This window comes from Homo sapiens, chromosome 10 (genome assembly GCF_000001405.40).
Source record: "Homo sapiens chromosome 10, GRCh38.p14 Primary Assembly".
NCBI classification, from domain to species: domain Eukaryota; kingdom Metazoa; phylum Chordata; class Mammalia; order Primates; family Hominidae; genus Homo; species Homo sapiens.
In genome coordinates, this window is record NC_000010.11 from 38,150,457 (window position 1) to 38,170,377 (window position 19,921).

The 19,921-nt window shown below is 41.6% G+C and overlaps 1 long non-coding RNA gene across 1 annotated transcript; it reads right to left on the reverse strand.

The window, feature by feature from the left end:
• Positions 1-4,168: 4,168 nt before the first annotated feature.
• LOC105376500 (uncharacterized) lies at positions 4,169-18,610 on the reverse strand. Its single transcript, XR_930832.3, has 3 exons — positions 18,538-18,610; positions 13,893-13,963; positions 4,169-6,968 (listed from the first exon to the last, which is right to left on the reverse strand). It is a non-coding gene; the product is annotated as an uncharacterized LOC105376500 (long non-coding RNA).
• Between the last annotated feature and the right edge of the window lie 1,311 nt (positions 18,611-19,921).

Here is a 19,921-nt window from a genome sequence, read left to right on the forward strand (position 1 = left end):
TAAGCATAAAATAAAATGTCTTTGAAGAAGTTATGCAGTCCAAGGGGTCTCTAACTAATGAGCAGGTCCTGAAGGACATGGTAAAGCCCATATCAAAGCTGAGTTAATTAGCATTTTATCCTGAAATGCATCCGTGGGGACAAGCAGTTCAGCTAAACTTTCATGAAACAAAGACAGCATTTGCGGGGTCTGTGTCTAACCTTGTCATAGGTGGGACATCCTTTGAGGGGGATCCGTGAGTCTTAGCTAAGTCAATGGGGAAGGGAAGTTCTTTGCAGTAAGGCAGGAACACAAGGTGGTGATTTCTTTAACCATCACTGTTTCCCAGTGCCTCAGGGCTCAAGTAGAACTCAACAGTGTCACTATCAGTACCTGAACATATTTAAAAGAAATAGCTTAAGACTCCAAATACTTATTTACTGTGGAACTGCCAAACAACTGTGTTCATGGATTTTGAAAATATTGTGACATGCTGCATCTTGCCATCTGGGACATGTTCCAGACTCAAATGAATCCCATGAACATAAGATTAGCCACAGACAGAATTGTGAAGAATAACAAAACACCTTTAACTACATGGGTAATTCAGAATCTAAGTGAAAAAAAGAAAACTGGAATGCATGGGGCCACTCTGTGAGTTACGAGGTGCATGATTCAGGCCATTCCTTTCAACCACAACCACAGATGCAAAAGACAGTGGAACTGAGTAACTTGCAGTCTTGTCATGAGCACAAGAATCAAGAAGATCGAGAAATAGCTGTTTCTCTATGGAATTTTCTTTCTTTTTATTTATTTATTTATTTATTTATTTATTTATTTATTTATTTATTTTGAGATGGAGTTTAGCTCTTGTCGACCAGGCTGGAGTGCAATGGTGCAATCTCTGCTCTCTGCAACCTCTGCTTCCTGGGTTCAAGTGATTCTCCTGCCTCAGCCTTCCAAGTAGCTGGGATTATAGGTGCCCGCCACCACACCCAGCTAAGTTTTTGTATTTTTAGTAGAGACGGTGCTTCACCATGTTGGCCAGGCTGGTCTCGAACTCCTGACCTCAGGCGATCCACCCACCCTGGCCTCCCAAAGTGCTGGGAATACAGGTGTAAGCCACCATGCCCAGCTCTCTATGTAATTTTCTAATCTTCAATTTTGTAATCTTTCATTTTATTCTATAGAAGACTGAAGATTATCTATAGAAATTGAAGATTTTCTGGAGAAAACTCTGTATATTCAATCTTTTGTTTTTTAGTTTTTGTTTGTTTGTTTGAGATGGAGTCTCACTCTGTTGCCCAGGCTGGAGTGTAGTGGCACAATCTCAGCTCCCTGCTACTTCTGCTCTTGGGTTCAAGTGATTCTCCCACCTCAGCCTCCTGAGTAGCTCAGATTACAGATGTGTACCATGATGTTCAGCTAATTTTTGTATTTTTAGTAGAGATGGGTTTCGCCATGTTGCCCAGGATAGTTTTGAGCTCTTCAGCTCAAGTGATCTGTCACCCTTGACCTCCCAAAGTGTTGGGATGGCAGATGTGAGCCACCACACCCCGCCTTATGTTGTTAGTTTTTAATCTAAAAGAATGCCTCTGTCTTCATAGAGTTTTGCTCAGTGTTAATGACGAAATCCTTGCCAAAGTCCCACCAAGTGCCCCATGTGCAGTGGCAATGCCCTGAGCTCCTGCATGTTGCAGGCTGCTTCACTGCCTCAGCCTCCTGAGATTACAGGAGATTTAATTATTGGGATTACAGGCATGAACCACCACGCCCAGCTAATTTTTGTATTTTTAGTAGAGACAGGGTTTCTCCATGTTGGTCAAGCTGGTCTCAAACTCCTGACCTCAGGTGATCTGCCTGCCTCAGCCTCCCAAAGTGCTGGGATTACAGATGTGAGCCACTGTGCCTGGCCTTCCTAAGGATTTTTAAAGCTATTCTACAAACTTTGATCACAAATCTACCCATGGAAGTTGTTTCCTCTGGGAAACTACATTCCTATTTGTGCCTAACACAGTATGGCCATGGTGGCTGCAGCTCTCCTAGGGCCTACTGTGGAAGCTTCTTCCTCAACAGAGCCTCAGGGTTTATCAAAGTAAAAAAATAAAAATAAAAAATTCATATGCTATCTTACTGCTGCCACTGCTGAAGGATCTGTTATTTCTCAACCACTAATAAAACACAGAAAGAGTTTCATTAAAGACGGATTGTTGCTTTTCTTTTGAGTGAGAATATCATTATTCTAAGACTTCCATAGTTGTTGATCTGATCAAGGAAATGTAGTGAACTTTTTGTTTCAGGTTATGAAGCAAAGCATTTTATTAGATGTGCCACAAAGGGCATATTAATAGTAAACGGCAACACAATTTTAGATTATTAGCACTAAACTATGTTTTAAAGATAATGTATAATACTTCTACACAAGGCCTGGAGTGGTGGCTCAAGCCTGGAATTCTAGCACTTTGGGAGGCTGAGACAGGAGGATTGCTTGAGCCTGGGAGGTGGAGGCTGCAATGAGCCAAGTTTGCACCACTGCACTCTAGCCTGGGCCACAAAGTGAGACCTTATCTCAAACAAACAACAAAAACCAAAACCAAAAACCAAAACTTACCATGGACCACGGGGAAAGTGGCCATGGCCACGTTAACAAGGACACTTCAAGCCCATGGTGTTTGGAGGTTTGAGGCAGCCACAACATCAGATGTGTTTTCTGGGCTCTGCTGCAGGAACGGAGGAGCTGTGTTGGGCCCCTTTCCCCACTCTGAAGTTTGGCCATGGGCTGGATGTGCTTTTGCTTAGTGAAGATGCCACAGGCTCCTTCCTTCTTTCCAGAGACAGACACAGGTCCCCAAAGCCTCCCGTACTTGGCTGAGGAAGCCAGACAGACATGTTCCCTGTCCAGAAGGCAGGCCCCAGAGCTCCTCAGGATCTGGAAGCTGAGGAGGAATGCAGGGCGGTGTCCCTGGTCACTCCCACTGACCTTGAGGTCATCTGATTTGCAGAGCTGATACCTTGGCTTGTGGGGGAGGAAAGTTGCATGTATTTTGAGATTTGTGTTCATTAACACACATTATTATCAAGGCCAAGGAAGTCTACTGAGAAGGAAGGAGGAGGACACTGTACGCCAGCCAGGTTGCAGTGAGGCCTCCAGCAGCCTGCTGTATGACTTAATAAATGCTGAGTCAATGCAGAGTTGCGCTTGAAATCATCTTCCAAATCATTCCCTTTAAATGAATCTTCTTGAGTATGAGCTTTCTGCTTTTGGGAAGGTTGTTAATAATTTGCCATGTATATTCATAATGAATTTCTCTACACATGAATTCCAGAGTAATTATTCAGTAAGTCTAGAGTTAACATTTTTTCCATTGTTACTTACATACATGTGGTATGTTACTCCCCTTCATGCCAAATATTTTCTTATGCATCATACCAACTGCAGAGCTATCAGATTAATTTCAAAGACTTCAGTATGTTTCAAAGACAAGGTATCTGACCAATTCTTATGCAATTGTTTGTTTTTAGATCTCAAATTATAGTGTTAAACTCATAACATTTTTTCACTACATTCAAATTATACTAAGCTTTTGGCTCAGAAAATGCTTAATCACCATCTAATTACAGAAAGTTAATAAGCTAATATACAGAAAGTTAATAAGGTAACATACAGAAAGCTCAGTTGCTAACTTATCCCACTGCCAGGTCTTTAATTTGGATGGCCACAGTTGATACTCATGAAACTCACCACTGACCTGATGCTGGCTATGTCCTTTCTACTGATATGTTTTGTGGGTATCATCCACGCGGAGACTTTGATCTTTGGTGGAGTGGCTCCTGGATTTCTCCCCACTGGACATATCCAGCTCTCCTCCCTTCATCTCCTCTTCTAAGATAAACAGTGTGTTGTTTCACCTCTTTCTCCCTACAAAGCCAGACAGCTTACAAAGCAGGGGCTGTTCCATGTACATCTGACTTTCTCACCCATGTCTGTGTGTGAGGATCTGCATGTGTGTGTGAATATGTGTGCGCATGGGTGCATTCATGTGTATATGTGTGCCTATATGTGTGTCTGTGCATGTGTGCCTGTGTACCAAGACCCCTGATGTTAGTGGCTGAGCATGAGGAACTTGAAGCTCTTACAAGTACTTTGAATACGGAAAGACACATTTGTGCCACATAGGTGCATTAGTCCTTTGCAGTTGCCTAACAGTCCATTTTATTTTAATGCTAATGTTTGTAATTGTGCGGTGGATTCACAGAATGGCAGAGTCCGTGCATCCCCAGCATCATTGCCCTGCATGCGTGACATTATCCAGTGTGCACACATGTGGGTTGCTGGAGTATTTAGAGTAAACTGGGAGTTCATGGAAACCTGGCTGCTCCCAGAAGCACTCAGTACTGCCTAACATGACATAAAGTGTTACAATTAATAAATAAATTAAGCAAAGCTACTGCATACAAGATCATTATCAACCAGATTACTATATACAACTATGAACACAAAGAAATGAAAGAACAAAAATCAAACTAGAGAACAAGAACCTATGACAAAAATGAGCCAATAAAGGGCTTACAGATTTTTAACAATAAGTCCTTCAATTTAATATAAGGAAAAAAAGCCCTAAAGAAAAATTAACAAAATAAGAAGAGTACATGAAGAAAAGTAAGGCACAGAGGCCAATAAACATTTTCTAAACTCTACCTCACATGAAACAGGTTACAGCAAGAGGATCTCTGCAGGGCAGGAGTCCAGAAACACTGAAAATCAGTCACCTCAACTTCTTTCTTCTTCTTCTTTTTTTTTTTTTTGAGACGAAGTTTTGCTCTTGTTGCCCAGGCTGGAGTGCAAAGGCGCGATCTCGGCTCACTGCAACCTCCACCTCCTGGGTTCAAGCGATTCTCATGCCTCAGCTTCCCCAGTAGTTGGGATTACAGGCGCCCACCACCACGCCCGCCTAATTTTTGTATCTTTAGTATAGACGGGGGTTTCACCATGTTGACCAGGCTGGTCTGGAACTCCTGACCTTCAGGTGATCCACCCACCTTGGCCTCCCAAAGTGCTGGGATTATAGGTGTGAGCCAACGCGCCAGGCACCTCAACTTCTTTCTCAGGAATCAAGAAAGAAAAATCAAGTGCAAAGAATACAGGATGAAGGCAATAATAAAGCTAACAAACATCAATGAAATGGAAAAATGTACGACAGAAATAAACCAAGGCTAAAAGTTGTTCTTATAAATAATATAGATAATAAACCATTAGCAAAGCTGATTAAGGAAAAGAGATTAAAGGACACAAGTGACCAGTATCAGAATCAAAACAACAGTCTGCTCTGCATAACAGTACTATAACAAGATAATCAGAGAATTTTGTGAAATACATATGATCAAAAGTCTGACAACAGAGATCACAATAGATGTTGAAAACCCAACTTACTAAAACTGGCACAAAAATAGTATAAAATAAAAACACTCCTATGTATATTAAACAAAATTAATTAACTATTTTTAAAAAAATCCAACAAATCAACAAACAATAATGCTCCACAAGGAAAATACCAGGATCAGACTTTGAAAATGTTCCAAATATTTAAGGAAGAAAAAAATATCGACACTGCTCACTCTCTCAAAGAGAAAGAAGAAAAGGGATGGTTTTTCAATTTGTTTCATGAGGCCATCATTACATTAATACACAATCTGATCAGACAATAAAAAAACCCAGAAATAACAGATGCTCTGTTTCACAAACACAGATACAAATATTCTAAGAAAAACATTGTTACCTGAATTCAATCAAGGAAGAAATAAAAAAAATGAAATTAAACAACAAAGACCAGACTAGGAAACAACAACCTACAATAGAAACGAACCAATAAAGGACTAATCTCTAAATTGTCTTTAAAAATGCTTCACATCAATACAGGAAAAACACAAATGACCCAAGATAATAAGAACACTAGATATGAAGAAAAAAAAGGGGGTGCATGGGCGAATAAATATTTGCTAAGCCGTACTTTGAAGGGGGTTATTTCCAGTTCCAGATGAGAGATACCCACAGGCAGCCCGGAGGGTGGGACCCCAGGGGGCAGGACCCCCAGGAGGTGACAGAGGCCCCGGCAGTGGGGGACCGGGGGCCCAAGGGGACCTCCATCCTTTTCCCGGGCTGCCGCCCAAGGCTACCGCCGCTCCTGGGTCCCAGTGCCCTCTCACTGGGTCCTGATAGGGGCTCCCTTTCTCACCCCGGGTCGGGCAGGAGGCCCCGGACTCCAGTCCCGGAGGAAACGGAGGCTCCAAGGCCTCCACGGAGGAGAGAAGGGGAGGGCTCCTCTCCGACCCGGGCTCCTCTCTGACCCGGGCTTCTCCAGCACCCACCCCAACGGGTTCTCAGAGGGTGAGGAGGAGGTCGGGGGCTGGGTTCAAGCCGCACTGGGCCCCGGATTCAACAACAGAAAGTGCTCCCGAGGGTCCTGTGCATCAGAGGGGTCCTGGCTCGGCCTGGAATGGGGCTCGGGGAGGGTCAGACGGTCTATTGGGCTCCCAGCCTGAGGCCTCCCTCCCCGGCCCGTAACCCCTCCTGCCGCTGGGGCCCTCCTGCCTTTCCCTGCACGCCACTCCCTGGGAGGCCGAGACTCCTGCCTGGCCTCCCTCTGCCGCTGGCACCCCAGACTCCCGGACTCACCCTTGGCTGGGTTGCCCTCTCCTCCTTTAAGCGCTGGATGCCACAAGTTCCAGGCTTCTTGGGCTCTGGGAGGAGGCACAGCGGAAGGCTAGGTAGCTATATTAGGCCGCTCCAAAGTCGCCTTGTGCTGTTGCTGCCTCACTGCCTCCAGCCTCCAGCATCCAGGGAGAGTGCAGGTGGGCAGCACCCAGTTCTCTTCCTTCTCCTCCTGCCTAGGGCGGACCGGCCTCCAGCATCCAGGGAGAGTGCGGGCACATGGCGCCTGGCCCTCTTCTTTCTCCTCCTGACCAGGGCGGAGCAGTAGAGACCACGCGGCCTGGAGTGGGGTGAAATGACGAAAGCCCAAGGGGGAACTATTTATAATGACTCTTATTTAACTGGCTCTCCTGGAAGGCATGTTCGGATTGGGTGAGAGCCACTGTGCAAAACAACTCTGATTGGATAATATGACCCAATCAGGGCTGGCTGAAAGGTTCCTTCTTGTCTTATCAGAACCAGGGTACCAAAAGTTTATACTACTTTGACGTAAGTCTACATTGGGAAAATACCTGAGTGACCCTAGAATGTTAACTTTTAAGAATATATAGATGCTGGGGAGGGGCAGGAGCCAGCGCCCCCACCGGAATTGGAAGCTGGGGACGCACATGGGAGATGGCTTTGTAGCCACCTCGCCTTCGGCTTTGCCTCCTGCCACGCCCCACAGGCCTGGAGAATGTGGCCCTTGTTGTTTCCAGGAATACTTTACGCAATTAAAGTCATAATTAAAGTAACATATGCAAAAACCCTATCAGTACTCCTTTTATACTTAAAGTTTTGTTTAACTATAACCCTGTTTACTTGTTTATATGTTGTCTATGGCTGCTGTCATGCTGCAAAGGTCGAGTAGACTATGAAACAGATGATGTGGACCACAGCTCCAAATATGTTTACTATTTTGCCATTTTCAGGATGAGTTTGCTGGATGACTCCTAAACTAGTGGAATGTCTGTGTTACTAGTACAGGGAGATCCTTGCCAGCCAATGTCAGAAAAACAAGTTGATTTTATGGACAATTTGTCATATACATACAAGCACCTTTCCAGTTTTTGTAACTATTAACGATTTATTTTCCTACTTAGTTTGCTCGCTATAACTTTGAGTGGCTCAACTATTCATCCTGTTTTGATTTCTTCATACCACTTATCCTCCTTCCAGATTATTTAATCAGGTGATTTTATGTTATACCTCAGTAGGGTCCTGAGCCTCTTGTTTGTTTACATGTCTCTATGACCCTCTTTGTTGTTTCATAAATGGATTGATGATATGTAAAATGTACATATTCATGGAAATAGCATTTGTTCCAATTGACAAAACTATTTATAAAATGAGGATTGTAATTATGTGTGCTATTTGAATTGTGTACATGTATATTTCTGTCCTTGGATTGGAGGCAGAAAAGGGGTTGATTTTGGCTTCAGCCATGGTTGTTTCCTCGGAATCCTAAAGTTAGTTGTTCTAGGCATGGGTCTGTAGGATGAATATCCCAAGGTGACAGTCATGGTAGATCCTTAGACCTTATTCTCGTGGGATTTTTAATAAGTGTATTAGTATTTTAAGAGCTATATTAGCTATAAGAAGAAATAGAATCAATTTTTATTTCAAAATGTTTCAATTTGAAATAATTGTATACTTCAGAAAAATTGAAATAATATTAACAGTATTTCTGCATACCCTTCATCTATCCTTACTGTTAATGTTTAACATAATCATAGAACAATTATTAAAGGTAAGAAATTCATACTGATTCAGTACTGTTGACTAATCTTCAGAGGGCATCTGAATTCTCCCTCCAGTACCCATTTTCTGTCCTCGTTGCATGTAGTTCTCATTTTTCCTCAGGCTCCTCCAGTTTGCATAATTTCCTCATTATTTCTTTTACATTCATGACCTTGACACTTTTTAAGAATCATATTTATTTTGTAAATATTTTGTAGACTGCACCTCCATTTGGGTGTGTCTGATGTTTTGTCATGAAGTAACCTTCCATTTAATCATGAGGAAACATCAGATAAACTCAAACGGAGGTACAGTCTATGAAATAAATATGATTCATGTGGCAGGAATGCCACAGAAGTAATGTTACATACTTCTCAGTGCATTTTATCAGATGGTGTGTGATGTTGCCATTACTGGTGATGTTAATCTTGGTAGAATGGTGGCTGCCAAGTATTTTTCCCTTTTTAGCTGAAATGTATTTTGTGGGGAGACATTTGTAGATATACAAATATCCTGTTTGTTATCGTAATCTCCACCATTAATCCTAGCACCCATGAGTAGAATTTTACCTACAGCAGTTATTACGGTGGAGATTGCCTAATGATTTCTTTCCATCATTCCTTCTGTATTTGTTTGGAATGCTCCAGTAGGAAACAGCTGTTCCTTCTACACCACTTATTTATTCAATTATTTATATTATTATGGATTCATGGCTGTTTAGTGTATTCTTTGGATTATGATCCAATGCTAATATTATTTATTTTGTTTTCAGGTTGTATCAACTGTTGGGGTGATCAGACCCAACACCAGGCCATGGGGTCTATGAAGTCTGGCGGCATCAAAGGAATGAGGAAAGACAAGTTAAGAGAGAAAGTGGGACCAGGGGGCCAATGCTAGTATGGAGGCTGCGAAGGCCCCAAGCTCTGGGAGCCCACACTGTTTATTGGTGATCAAAGAAACAGTTGGTGAGGATGTGGGGGTTGAAAGGAAGTGGTGTATCAAGTGAATGAGCTACAGCTGTGACGGTTCAGCATTTTCTTTGAAACATATGGCTACTTGAGATAAAGGGAGTGCTAGAAGCAAGGAGCCAGCAAGTCCAGACACATTCCAAAGGCCATGAGAGGTTTTAGACCTTGGACCCCGGACATGTTCCAAGCACTGCCTCAGCTTCTCTCCCAACACTCAGCTTTTCTCCCAACACTCAACATTGTCCATTGAGAGCCCCTTCAGGTTGGCACCTGTTTCCTTTTGATGTGCCTTCATCATTTTTCAGTTCTTCCTTATTTTTGGCATCACAAAGCATTCCAGGCTTATCACGCGTCTTCCCTGATCTCAGCCCTGAAATTAACCCTATTTCTAGGGAGCCCTGGTTCATTAACTGGAGAATGGTACTAGAAACCATGATCTGAGCACTAGGTGTGCTCATTGGCATGGGAATGCCATTTACTCTAGGATCTCTTCATGGACAGAGTTAGGAACTCTATATTGGTGTACTCACACATGCGTTAACATTTGTCTATACCTATCTGACTGTGTACCTACCTACCTACTCATAAAAACTGTGAGTTCATACTGTTGCCTTTGATTCCACTCTAACACCACTGAGTTTATTCTAGCTTTTCCTTCTTTGTAACTTCTAACAGTGAGAACATTGGCTTTTATTTTCCAAGATATGTTCACTTGTTTGTTTGTTCCTGGTGTGTGTGTGTGTGTGTGTGTGTATAGTAGATTGAGAAATGTGAAACCATATGCTTGTTAAGAAACAAATTTACTAATTAGAAGATAGTATTTGTGTGACATATTTTTTGTCTTTAGCTTTCAACAATGAAAATAGAGTTTTCCAAAGTTACTTAGGCTTCTTATGTTCTTCCCCACCTCTTTCTGCATGCTCATATTATTAGATTTCCTTTTATTAGATTCTCATTTCATTAGATTCCCTTTTATCCTTTTTAGATATCTTATGCACAAATAAGCAGATAACGTATATAATTTCTAATATCCCCTTCTCATTATATGAAGTGTAGCTCATACCACATGTATATATATGCATTCTTGCTCTGTGTTTTGCATTTTTTCTTTCCACTTAACAATATAGCCTATATTTTAGAACATATTTAAATTTACTTCCGTCTTAGCATGCTGTGATAGCAGTTTCATTATTTTTCAGCTGTAGAATTTTGTCTATAAAATATTCACTTCAGAAATGTAAAAGTAAACCATCAACACTCACAGAAACACTGTCTTTTTGAGGTTTTTCCTTCTTTTTTTTTTTTTTTTTTTTTTTTTGAGACAGAGTCTTACTCTGTTGCCCAGACTGGAGTGCATTGGCGCAATCTCCACTCACTGCAACCTCCACCTCCCAGGTTCAAGCAATTCTCCTGCCTCAGCTTCCCCGAGTAGGTGGGTCTACAGGTGTTTGCCACCACGCCTGGCTAATTTTTGTATTTTTAGTAGAGACAGGATTTCACCAAGTTGGCCAGGCTGGTCTCGAGCTTCTGACCTCAGGTGATCTGCCCACCTCAGCCTCCCAAAGTGCTGGAATTACAGGTGTGAGCTACCATGCCCAGCTGAGGATTTGCTTCTTAAAACTTAACATTCTGGGGTCACTCAGGTATTTTCCCACTGTAGACTTATGTCAAAGTAGTATACATTTTTGGTAGTAATTTAAATGTCTTTATTTATAAATGCATATTTATGTTTCATTTCCAGCTGGTTGGAGTGTTTGATGAGCAAGATCTACATCATGGAGGTGATGACACCAATGCCAGCTCCATGCATACCTAGAGCCCAGAGAGATTTGCTAGTGCTAGTGAGCTTGGCACAAACAATGTCTCAGCCTTTCAGTCTGATCAAGCAGCAAGTGAAATTGAGGTCACATCTTCAGTACTTCATGTAAGTAAGTGAAAGCTCTTTCTTCTCTGCATACTTCATCTTTTTTTTTTTTTTTTTTTGAGATGGAGTCTTGCTCTGTTGCCCAGACTGGAGTATAGTTGTGCGTTCTCGGCTCACTGACACCTCTGCCTCCTGGGTTCAAGCAATTCTCCCTCTCATGACCTCCTGAGTTCCTGGGATTACAGGCAGCCACTGCCACGCCCAGCTATTTTTTGGGTATTTTTAGTAGAGACAGAGTTTTGCCATGTTGGGCAGGCTGGTCTCGAACTTCTGACCTCAGATGATCTGCCCGCCACGGCACCTGGCCACATCATCTTCATTTGAAGGATACAAAGTTTTGTCATCCAGTCTTGCTTCTGTAAATGCAAGGAATTCATTTCTTGAACAGATAATAAAATTCATTACCTGTTTTTATCCAGAATTCAGTTTAGAACTTTGGCAAATGTCTTGCAAAGAAGTAGGCACATTAAAATCACATTTTAATGAATTAAGCTTACTTTAGTCAACTTTTCATGGCAGGGCAGGGTCCATCAAGGCAGGGGAATAGAGAAATATTTAGACACTGGTGTAGCCCAAGTCCCAACCAGTTTTAGTATATGTTGAAGCGAGCACCCAAGTCCCAACCAATCTGAATGAACCATTCTACCATACCAAGCCAATATTAATATTATTCATAATAAAATCTGCTGAAGTGAGCACCCAAGTCCCAAACAATCTGAATGAACCATTCTACCATACCCAGCCAATATTAATATTATTCATAATAAAATCTTAATAAATGAAAAATCAGTAAATAAAAAATGAATATAAAATACCTAAACATAAATTTGTCCTAAAACTCTAGTTGAGGGTTTTAAACATATCAAGAGTAACTGTTTTGAGTCACCTTAAAGCATTGCAATTTGTACAACCAAAAGGAAATATATCCTAAGGAAAAAATGAATTGCCAAACGAGGACCCTAAAACTGTTTGTTGTTGGCATTGTTCATTTTCAATTCATAGATGGGTATTATAGGATGAAGGAGATGAGGAGCAATAATACTTTAATTCTGTCATTCCTGGTGTCATTGAGGACCTAGGATTCTTAGTATAGAAGAAAGGGGATACAGATAGAAGTTACAAAGTAACAAACACTTTATAGTCCTCAATTTGGATAGGACAAGTCATCATGGATTCATGATATGCTTTAACTCTCAAAAAAAAAGAGAACCTAGAAGGAAGGAGAACTCCTGTGTGTATTCACAGAAAAAGCCATGAATCAAGGACCACCTTAGTAAGGCAGCATTTCTCATATCCAGGCTATATTCTGGAAATAACAATTTTTTATAAAAAGAGATCAGAGTTCCTTGGAGAAATGCCTGAATTTAGGTCTGGACAGAAAATGTATGAGATGATTCTGGATCATCCTGACATATCATAAAATAAGGATGCTATGAAACATTACTAGGGTATATCACAGGGCCTAGGAGAAGACATGATGCTCCTACTGTCATTGGAACATCAATTAGTATAGTAACAGCAATAAGTGCATGGATTTGTAACTATAATAAATAAGCTTACAAGCAAGAAAAAGGCTTCCAGTGATCCAATTTATTATTTGGAAAGCTGATAAAGGAATAATTCATCTATTCTGCATTTCCTGTGTGGGTGGTGTGACTGGATAACTAAGTAACAGATCAAGGGGAAGTTACTTTTTATGTAAGTATTTCAGCTAATAAATGAAGGTGTAATGGTAGCATTAGAATATTACTATTTTGCAACTCCTGGTGAAATAATAGATCTAGGGATTGATCATTGTATGAAAGGACAATAAAAATTGGGGACCCCAATTTCCTATGCCAAAAGAAAAAAATTAAGCTGAAAGCTGAGTCATGAAAGAAGCTGCCTTTCCTTGGCTTTGTAAGCAGTTACAGATAAAAGTTTAAACATTTCCACAGGTAGCTACCCTGTTCATCTTATCTAATCAAGTGCTGATTTATTGAGCATAAGATCAGTACATAATTGACTATTTCCCTACGTGCTCCTTTTCTCTTGCAACATGAGGATCACCACACACTTCCTGTTTCCTCTCTAGGTCACTTTTCCTTTTTAAATATTGAAGCCCTCAAAATCATCTTTAGAGAAAAATCACAGACCACAGACTGTGTCTGTGATTCTGTGTTTATTTCTCCTGGGCATGTTCTTAACCTTGGCAAAATAAACTTCTACACTGATTGAGACCTGGCTCAGATACTCTTTGGTTTTACAATTGCTATGGTCTTAATGTATCCCTCAAAATGTATCTGTTAGAACTCTAATCCCTAAGACAGCAGTGTTGGGAGCTGCAGCCTAATGGAGGTGTTTAGGTCAAAAAGGCACTTTTTATTTGGAAAACTGATAAAAGAAAGAATAAATTATTTATCTATTCTGCATTTCCCATATGTGGGTGTTATCTACTACCCTGCAGTAGATGAGGGGGATGTTACTTTTTATATACATATAAAATAGTTATGTCTTATATAAGTATAAAAAAGGCTTGATGGATTGGGTTTACTTTTTGTCACTCTTCTGTCATGTGAGCACATCACATCCATCCTCTCTCCCTTTCACCTACCTCCATGTGAGAATGTAGTAGGAATACCCTCTCCAGAGGCCTCTTGATTTTGGACTTCCCAGCCTGCGGAACTGTGAGAGAATAAATTTCTGTTCTTTATGAGTTACCTAGGTTCAGGAACTCTGTTATAGCAACAGAACCCTCCCAACTGGAGTTCTTCAGCACACCCCAGTCCATCCCCTCGCTAACTCCCCCACCTGTCCAGTCTTATCTGCCTTTATATCAAAAGCCCACAGCTAACCCAGAGGGCTTCAGCCCTGCCCTGCCTTTCTAGGAAACCCCCCTCTCCACCCACCCTGATCAAGACACTGTCTGAAGTTTCCCCCTCATGATTTAAAAAAAAGAAATTTATCTGACAGAGGTTCTGCTGAGGAGGCCAGCTCTCACATCAGAGGGTGATGGCAGTTTGTGCTGGATGAGGATAAGACAATGCTGTCCTAGGGCTGGCCATCTGATAAAGCTTCCCAGAAAGTGCAGTAATGGACCCCTGGGAGGCTTTCTGCTCTCCTGTCTGCGGGTTCCTGGTGAGAGGACCTATTGGCCACTAAGGTGTCTGAATATGTGTCTGTGTGTGTGTGTGTGTGTGTGTGTGTGTGTGTGTCAGAGTGATGTGTGTGTTCTTGGCTTGATTTCTTTCAGCATGAAGCCCACTGTTTTGCTGAATGTATCTGTTTCCTGAAACTCAGTGCATTCAGCTGGCTCAAGGGTCCTGGGGCCTTACTGTGTCATATTTGCACAAGCCTTGTGTCTGTGCAGACTGTACACTGGAGTTCAGTTGTAAAACCCTTTTTCTCCCTTATCCTGACACAGTAATAGAAAAGCCATTTCATTCAATGGAATAGAAACCCAGATCTAATGGAGAGATGGTCTAATCTGCCATACATTGGAGCAGTATCCAGTGATTTGGACTTTGTGGCATTGATGGAAATTTCCAGGTTCTCTAGGTGGTGGGCAGAGACCTCACTTTTTAAGAAACTCTCCACCCCTGCCAATGAGGACACTGCTTGAGGACATTCCTGTCAATGTTAAGTAGAAGAGATTGTTTCTTTTCTTTTTCTTTCTTTTTTTTTTTTGTTTAGACAGAGTTTTGCTCTTGTTGCCTAGGCTAGAGAGCAATGGCCTAGTCTCGGCTCACTGCAACCTCTGCCTCCCGGGTTCAAGTGATTCTCCTGCCTCAGCCTCCCGAGTAGCTGGGATTACAGGGGCACACCAACATGCCCGGCTAGTTTTTGTATTTTTAGTAGAGGTGAGGTTTCACCATGTCGGACAGGCTGGTCTCGAACTTCTGACCTCAGGCAATCCACCCGCCTCAGCCTCCCAAAATGCTGGGATTATAGGCGTGAGCCACCACTCCCAGCCAAGAGATCATTTCTTGATGTTGAATTTCAGGTAAGGGAGCCAGCTCCTGAATACTGCCAGGTGCTTGGGCTGAGACAGGTCTAGACAGCACTGTCTGAAAATGGGCTCAAGGAAGTAGCTGTGAAAGGGCCCTGGGATGTTTTCTGCTCCCCTCTCTGCAAATGTCCTGGAGGGACATCCTGTTAGTCACTTTGCGGGGTGTGTGTGTGTGTGTGTGTGTGTGTGTGTGTGTTCATCAGTTGGTTTTATGTTTTTGCTTTTCTTCATGAAATCTGCAGAGCTGCCAAAAGTACCTTGATGTTTTCTGAAAGCAGAGCCAATGACCACACTCCAGGGACTGAGTTCTCAAATGTATGGTATTTGCTAAGGACGGGTGTTTACCTGCAGATAGTGTGATGGGGTTCAGAGCCAAGGAACACTAGTTTCTGTGCCCTGTTTCTATGTTAAAAAGACATTTCGTTCAACTGGATAACAGGGCAATTCTGGTGGAGAAAAGGTCTATTCTGCCATAGGATGGGGCAGCAGCCTGCAGTTCAGAACACTGGTGTGTGTCTGGAGATTTCCAGGAACTCCAGCTGCTGGTAGAGGCCCAGAAGGTAGGGGGCATTTGTCTTCAGATCAAAGGTGAGGGTTCTGCTCACCCCATTATCTTGGCCATGTGTGGACCCTTAAGTTTGCAGGATTGGATGTCCTGACTGACTGTGCCATAGGAGGGTATAAGAGACTGAGGGCAACACAACTATAGACTGTGGGGATGATGTTCATAGGGAGCGTCCCTGCTGCCTGTGGCAAGAGTAAAGAGTGAAATGCTTGGGGCTGGGAAGAGGCAACAAAAGTCTACATAATCTATTGTCCTCAGCTCATCTCCCATCCTAGTCCAGTCATGGCCTAACATCTTTAGCTACTGATCGCAGAGGAGACTGTGCATTTGTGTTCATGTGGCCTTGGATGTTGGCAAATTCAGATTGGTGCCCCAGGCATCTGTGCCTGTAACTGCAGTTTCAATGGGCTCAGAACCAGCCTAAAGGGCCTCCAAGCTTCCTCCAGTTTCCTGGTGCATGCATGTGCAATATACTCCCGTCGCCTGGGTCTCTTCTGCCTCTTCTTGCCAGTTGGGTCAGAGCTAGCTTATTAACCAGTGTTTTCTGAGATTTAATAGAACTGGCTCAGACCAGTTGGAGACTTGAAAAGGGCTACGTGATAGTAATAGATTTTTAAAGATACATTATTATTTTAGAGTAGATTTGAGTGTACAGCAAAATGGAGTGCAGAGTCCAGAGTTCCCATATGCCCTCGATTCCTGTACACTCTTGGGTCACTCAACCAACAACCTCCTACACCAGAGTAGAATATTTATTATAGTCAGTGATCTTACACTGACACATCATTATCACCCAGAGTGATACTGTTGATGGCACACATTCTAAGGGTTTGGAGAAATGTATAACGAGAATGAAATGTATAATGAATGTATCATTATAGCTGTTATGATATCCTGCAGTATATTTTCATTACTGTAATAATCTTGTGCTCTATTTATTTATCCTTTCTTTTCCTAACCACTGGAAACCACCAATCTTTTCACTCTCCAAAGTTTTGCATTTTTCTGAATGTTATATACTTGGAATCATAGATAACTTTCCAGATTGGCTTCTTTCAGTTACTAATATGCATTTAGTATGTAATATGCAGTTAGTAATAGCTCATTTCTTTTCAGATGTGATTAACATTTCATTTTCTAAATATACCACATTTGTATTTATCATTAAGCTACTTAAGGAAATCTTGGTTCCTCCTGACTTTTGGCAGCTATTTTAAAAGCTGTTATAAACATCTGTGTGCAGATTTTTGTGTGGACATAAGCTTTCTGGTCATTTGGATAAAGACCTAGGGAATGCAACTACTGGATCACATAGTAAGATTATGTGTAGTTTTGTAAGAAACTGCCCATATTAGGAGAGTCTTTACATTGGTAGAGGAGACTGTGCTAACATACTGCAGAACCATGCTCAGCTAATTATTTGTTTGTATTTGTTTTAGAGATGGGGTTTCCCTAAGTTGCTTAGGCTTGTTTCAAAATCCTGGGCTGAAGTAGTCTGCCTGCATTGGTCTCCCCAAGTGCTGGAATTACAGGCCATCTAAACCTTTTATCTTAGATTTGCCTTGTGACAAAAGGAGGGGTACTTTTTCTGATATGATGAGGCAGAGAAAGATGAGGTGGGTGCATCCTGTGCATATTATTTTCTTAGGCTTTTGCCTGATGGGATATATTTTCTCCTTCAATGATATGGCAAGATATTCAGGTGAAAGAAGTTGAATAAAAGTTAGAAGAACAGAGAAAAGATTGGTTCTACATGTTGGGTTTTTGAATAAATGATGTCATTGGAGAAACAAAACTTTTATTGATTTTTGGAAATATTCAGGGCCAATTTGTTGTGTAAGTAATTTGAACTTATGATGATACCTCTGACCACTTTTTGATATTTTTGGGGTTCAGCTGAGTGGTGTCAATGAGCCAACACAAAGTGGGGCTCATCCAGGGATGAGATTTTGCCAGAGAAAGGATGAGCATCAAGTCAGGGAGCTTAAGATAATTATGAGAAAGTGACTATCTAAAATTGCTTAGGTAAGAGAGAGATTGGATTTTTGTGTATTTGGTATTTGGGAGAAGAGGGGTGTGGGTATGTATATGAGATGTGTTGTTTATTCTCTTAAGAGAGAAAATGAGAGGATTAATGGACTGTAGTTCTGGACAAGGTGAAAAACTCTTAAAGTGGAAGTATTGGTGCAAGTGCTGTGACAGGCTGGAATGGTGCAGTCAGTCCCTTCATCCATAAATCAGTAGAATGTTAGCAGTTCATACTCAAACCTTGTAAAAAATAGGTGGAGAAAAGGAAGTCCCTCACAGTAACTGGCACCATAATCAAGACAGAATGTTTCCAGAATAAATGGAGTTATCTGCTTTCAGCTTCAGGTGGTAGCTATTGTCTGCCCTGATGATATGTGATAATAATTTGTGATCCCGATGTCTTAAAATGGGATCACTCATCTCCAGTAGAATTAAGTCCACAGTGAAGTTGTCCCCTCATCCCCAAAGAGATAAACATATATGAATGGACTGAGATGATAATAACTACTGCTGCCTGGGATCATGAGAGACCTGAAATGAACTGATAGGATGTGAAAGGTGGCTGAGAAAATGAGAATGGACCCATCTGCGGAGGATCATAAAACCAGCAAAGCTTCAGAAGCTTTGTCCATGAAAACTCTAAGGACTTCTCCATACCTGGTGGCTGCTGCTGTGATCTCTGCCCAAAAGGAGCCTCTGATCAGTATCCAAAGGGCTTCTGGACCCACTGGAGTCTTCTGGAGGTACATTGGTATCCTGAGACATCACTGTGGTTTTTTACTCTCTTTATTACTGCCTGTGTGTAGAATGATAATTGCCTAATTGATAGTGTGAATACCTCTTGATACATGGTAAATCTGAGCATATGTAATTGGGTGTCATGTCATTCTGAAACCTCACAGCTTCAGTCAGTGTCAGCACAGCTAGGCAGCTTGCACCTAATGCAAATATCAGTGGGCATAGTCTATAGGTACCTAATGACTCAGGTACTTTAACAGTCACTAATGAGTGTATCTCCAAGAAATAGTCCAACAACACATGGCTGGCCTGACTCAAGGTAACTATATGTCCAATCCAGGGTCATACTGAGTGGACATCTGGCAACCACAGGTCATTCCCCCTGCCTGCCATTGAACTGCTAGTTCAAAAGTGACTGGTGTAAGCAGACAGGAGTGGGCTTGTTCAACTCACTATTTGCTTCTTCTGAAGGGATCATACTCAGGATCTAGGTCATCGTGCCTTATTGGAGTCCTACACATTTCACTTGCAAATTATATTTGAAAATGAAATTACCATGTTGCTAGTCATTCACAAAACATTTTTTAAAATTACATTCTAGAACCAATATTAACATCCTGTGACCCATAGAAAACAATAGAGAAATGTATTAGGCAAAAAGTTCTGGCAAAGACCAGTCTGATATTGGCCTGATTACTCAACCTCAGGCATTGGTCACATTAACTCACAGAGCTAAGAAAAATAAAAAGTACCAGCCTTGTTACTCAAGACATTAGGAACTGTCGATTTAGATAGATAAAAGATTTTAGCTAACAAAATATTACAATGTCATCCTGAAGAATATGTCCCTCTTCCAGAGAACCCAGGAGGTTATCATGACCCCTGGAAAGCCCGACCAGCAATAACAGTGAAAGTTACATAGCTGCCCGAGTGCAGAAATATAATCTCTACTGAAAATGTTTTATACTAGGCACGAATTTCAAGATATACATAGAATTTTTGCTCACGAAGTCAAATCACATGTACAAATTCCATATGGTTTAGGAGTTAATGGTGGTAAATTCACTATGCTTACTGGAAGCGAAGTAGGACAAATGACTGGAATAGCAAACAACTGCAGGTTTCATGATGAATTAATTGCTAGAGCACAAAATATCGAAGATCTTCATGACTTACGATGGGGATGGGTAACAGAAGTTGGATGAGACAATACCCAAACATGATTCCCAGGTTTACCTAAACTAAACAATGGAAGACTGTAGAAGATGCCATGAAGATATCTCATGAATATGGAAGATTATTA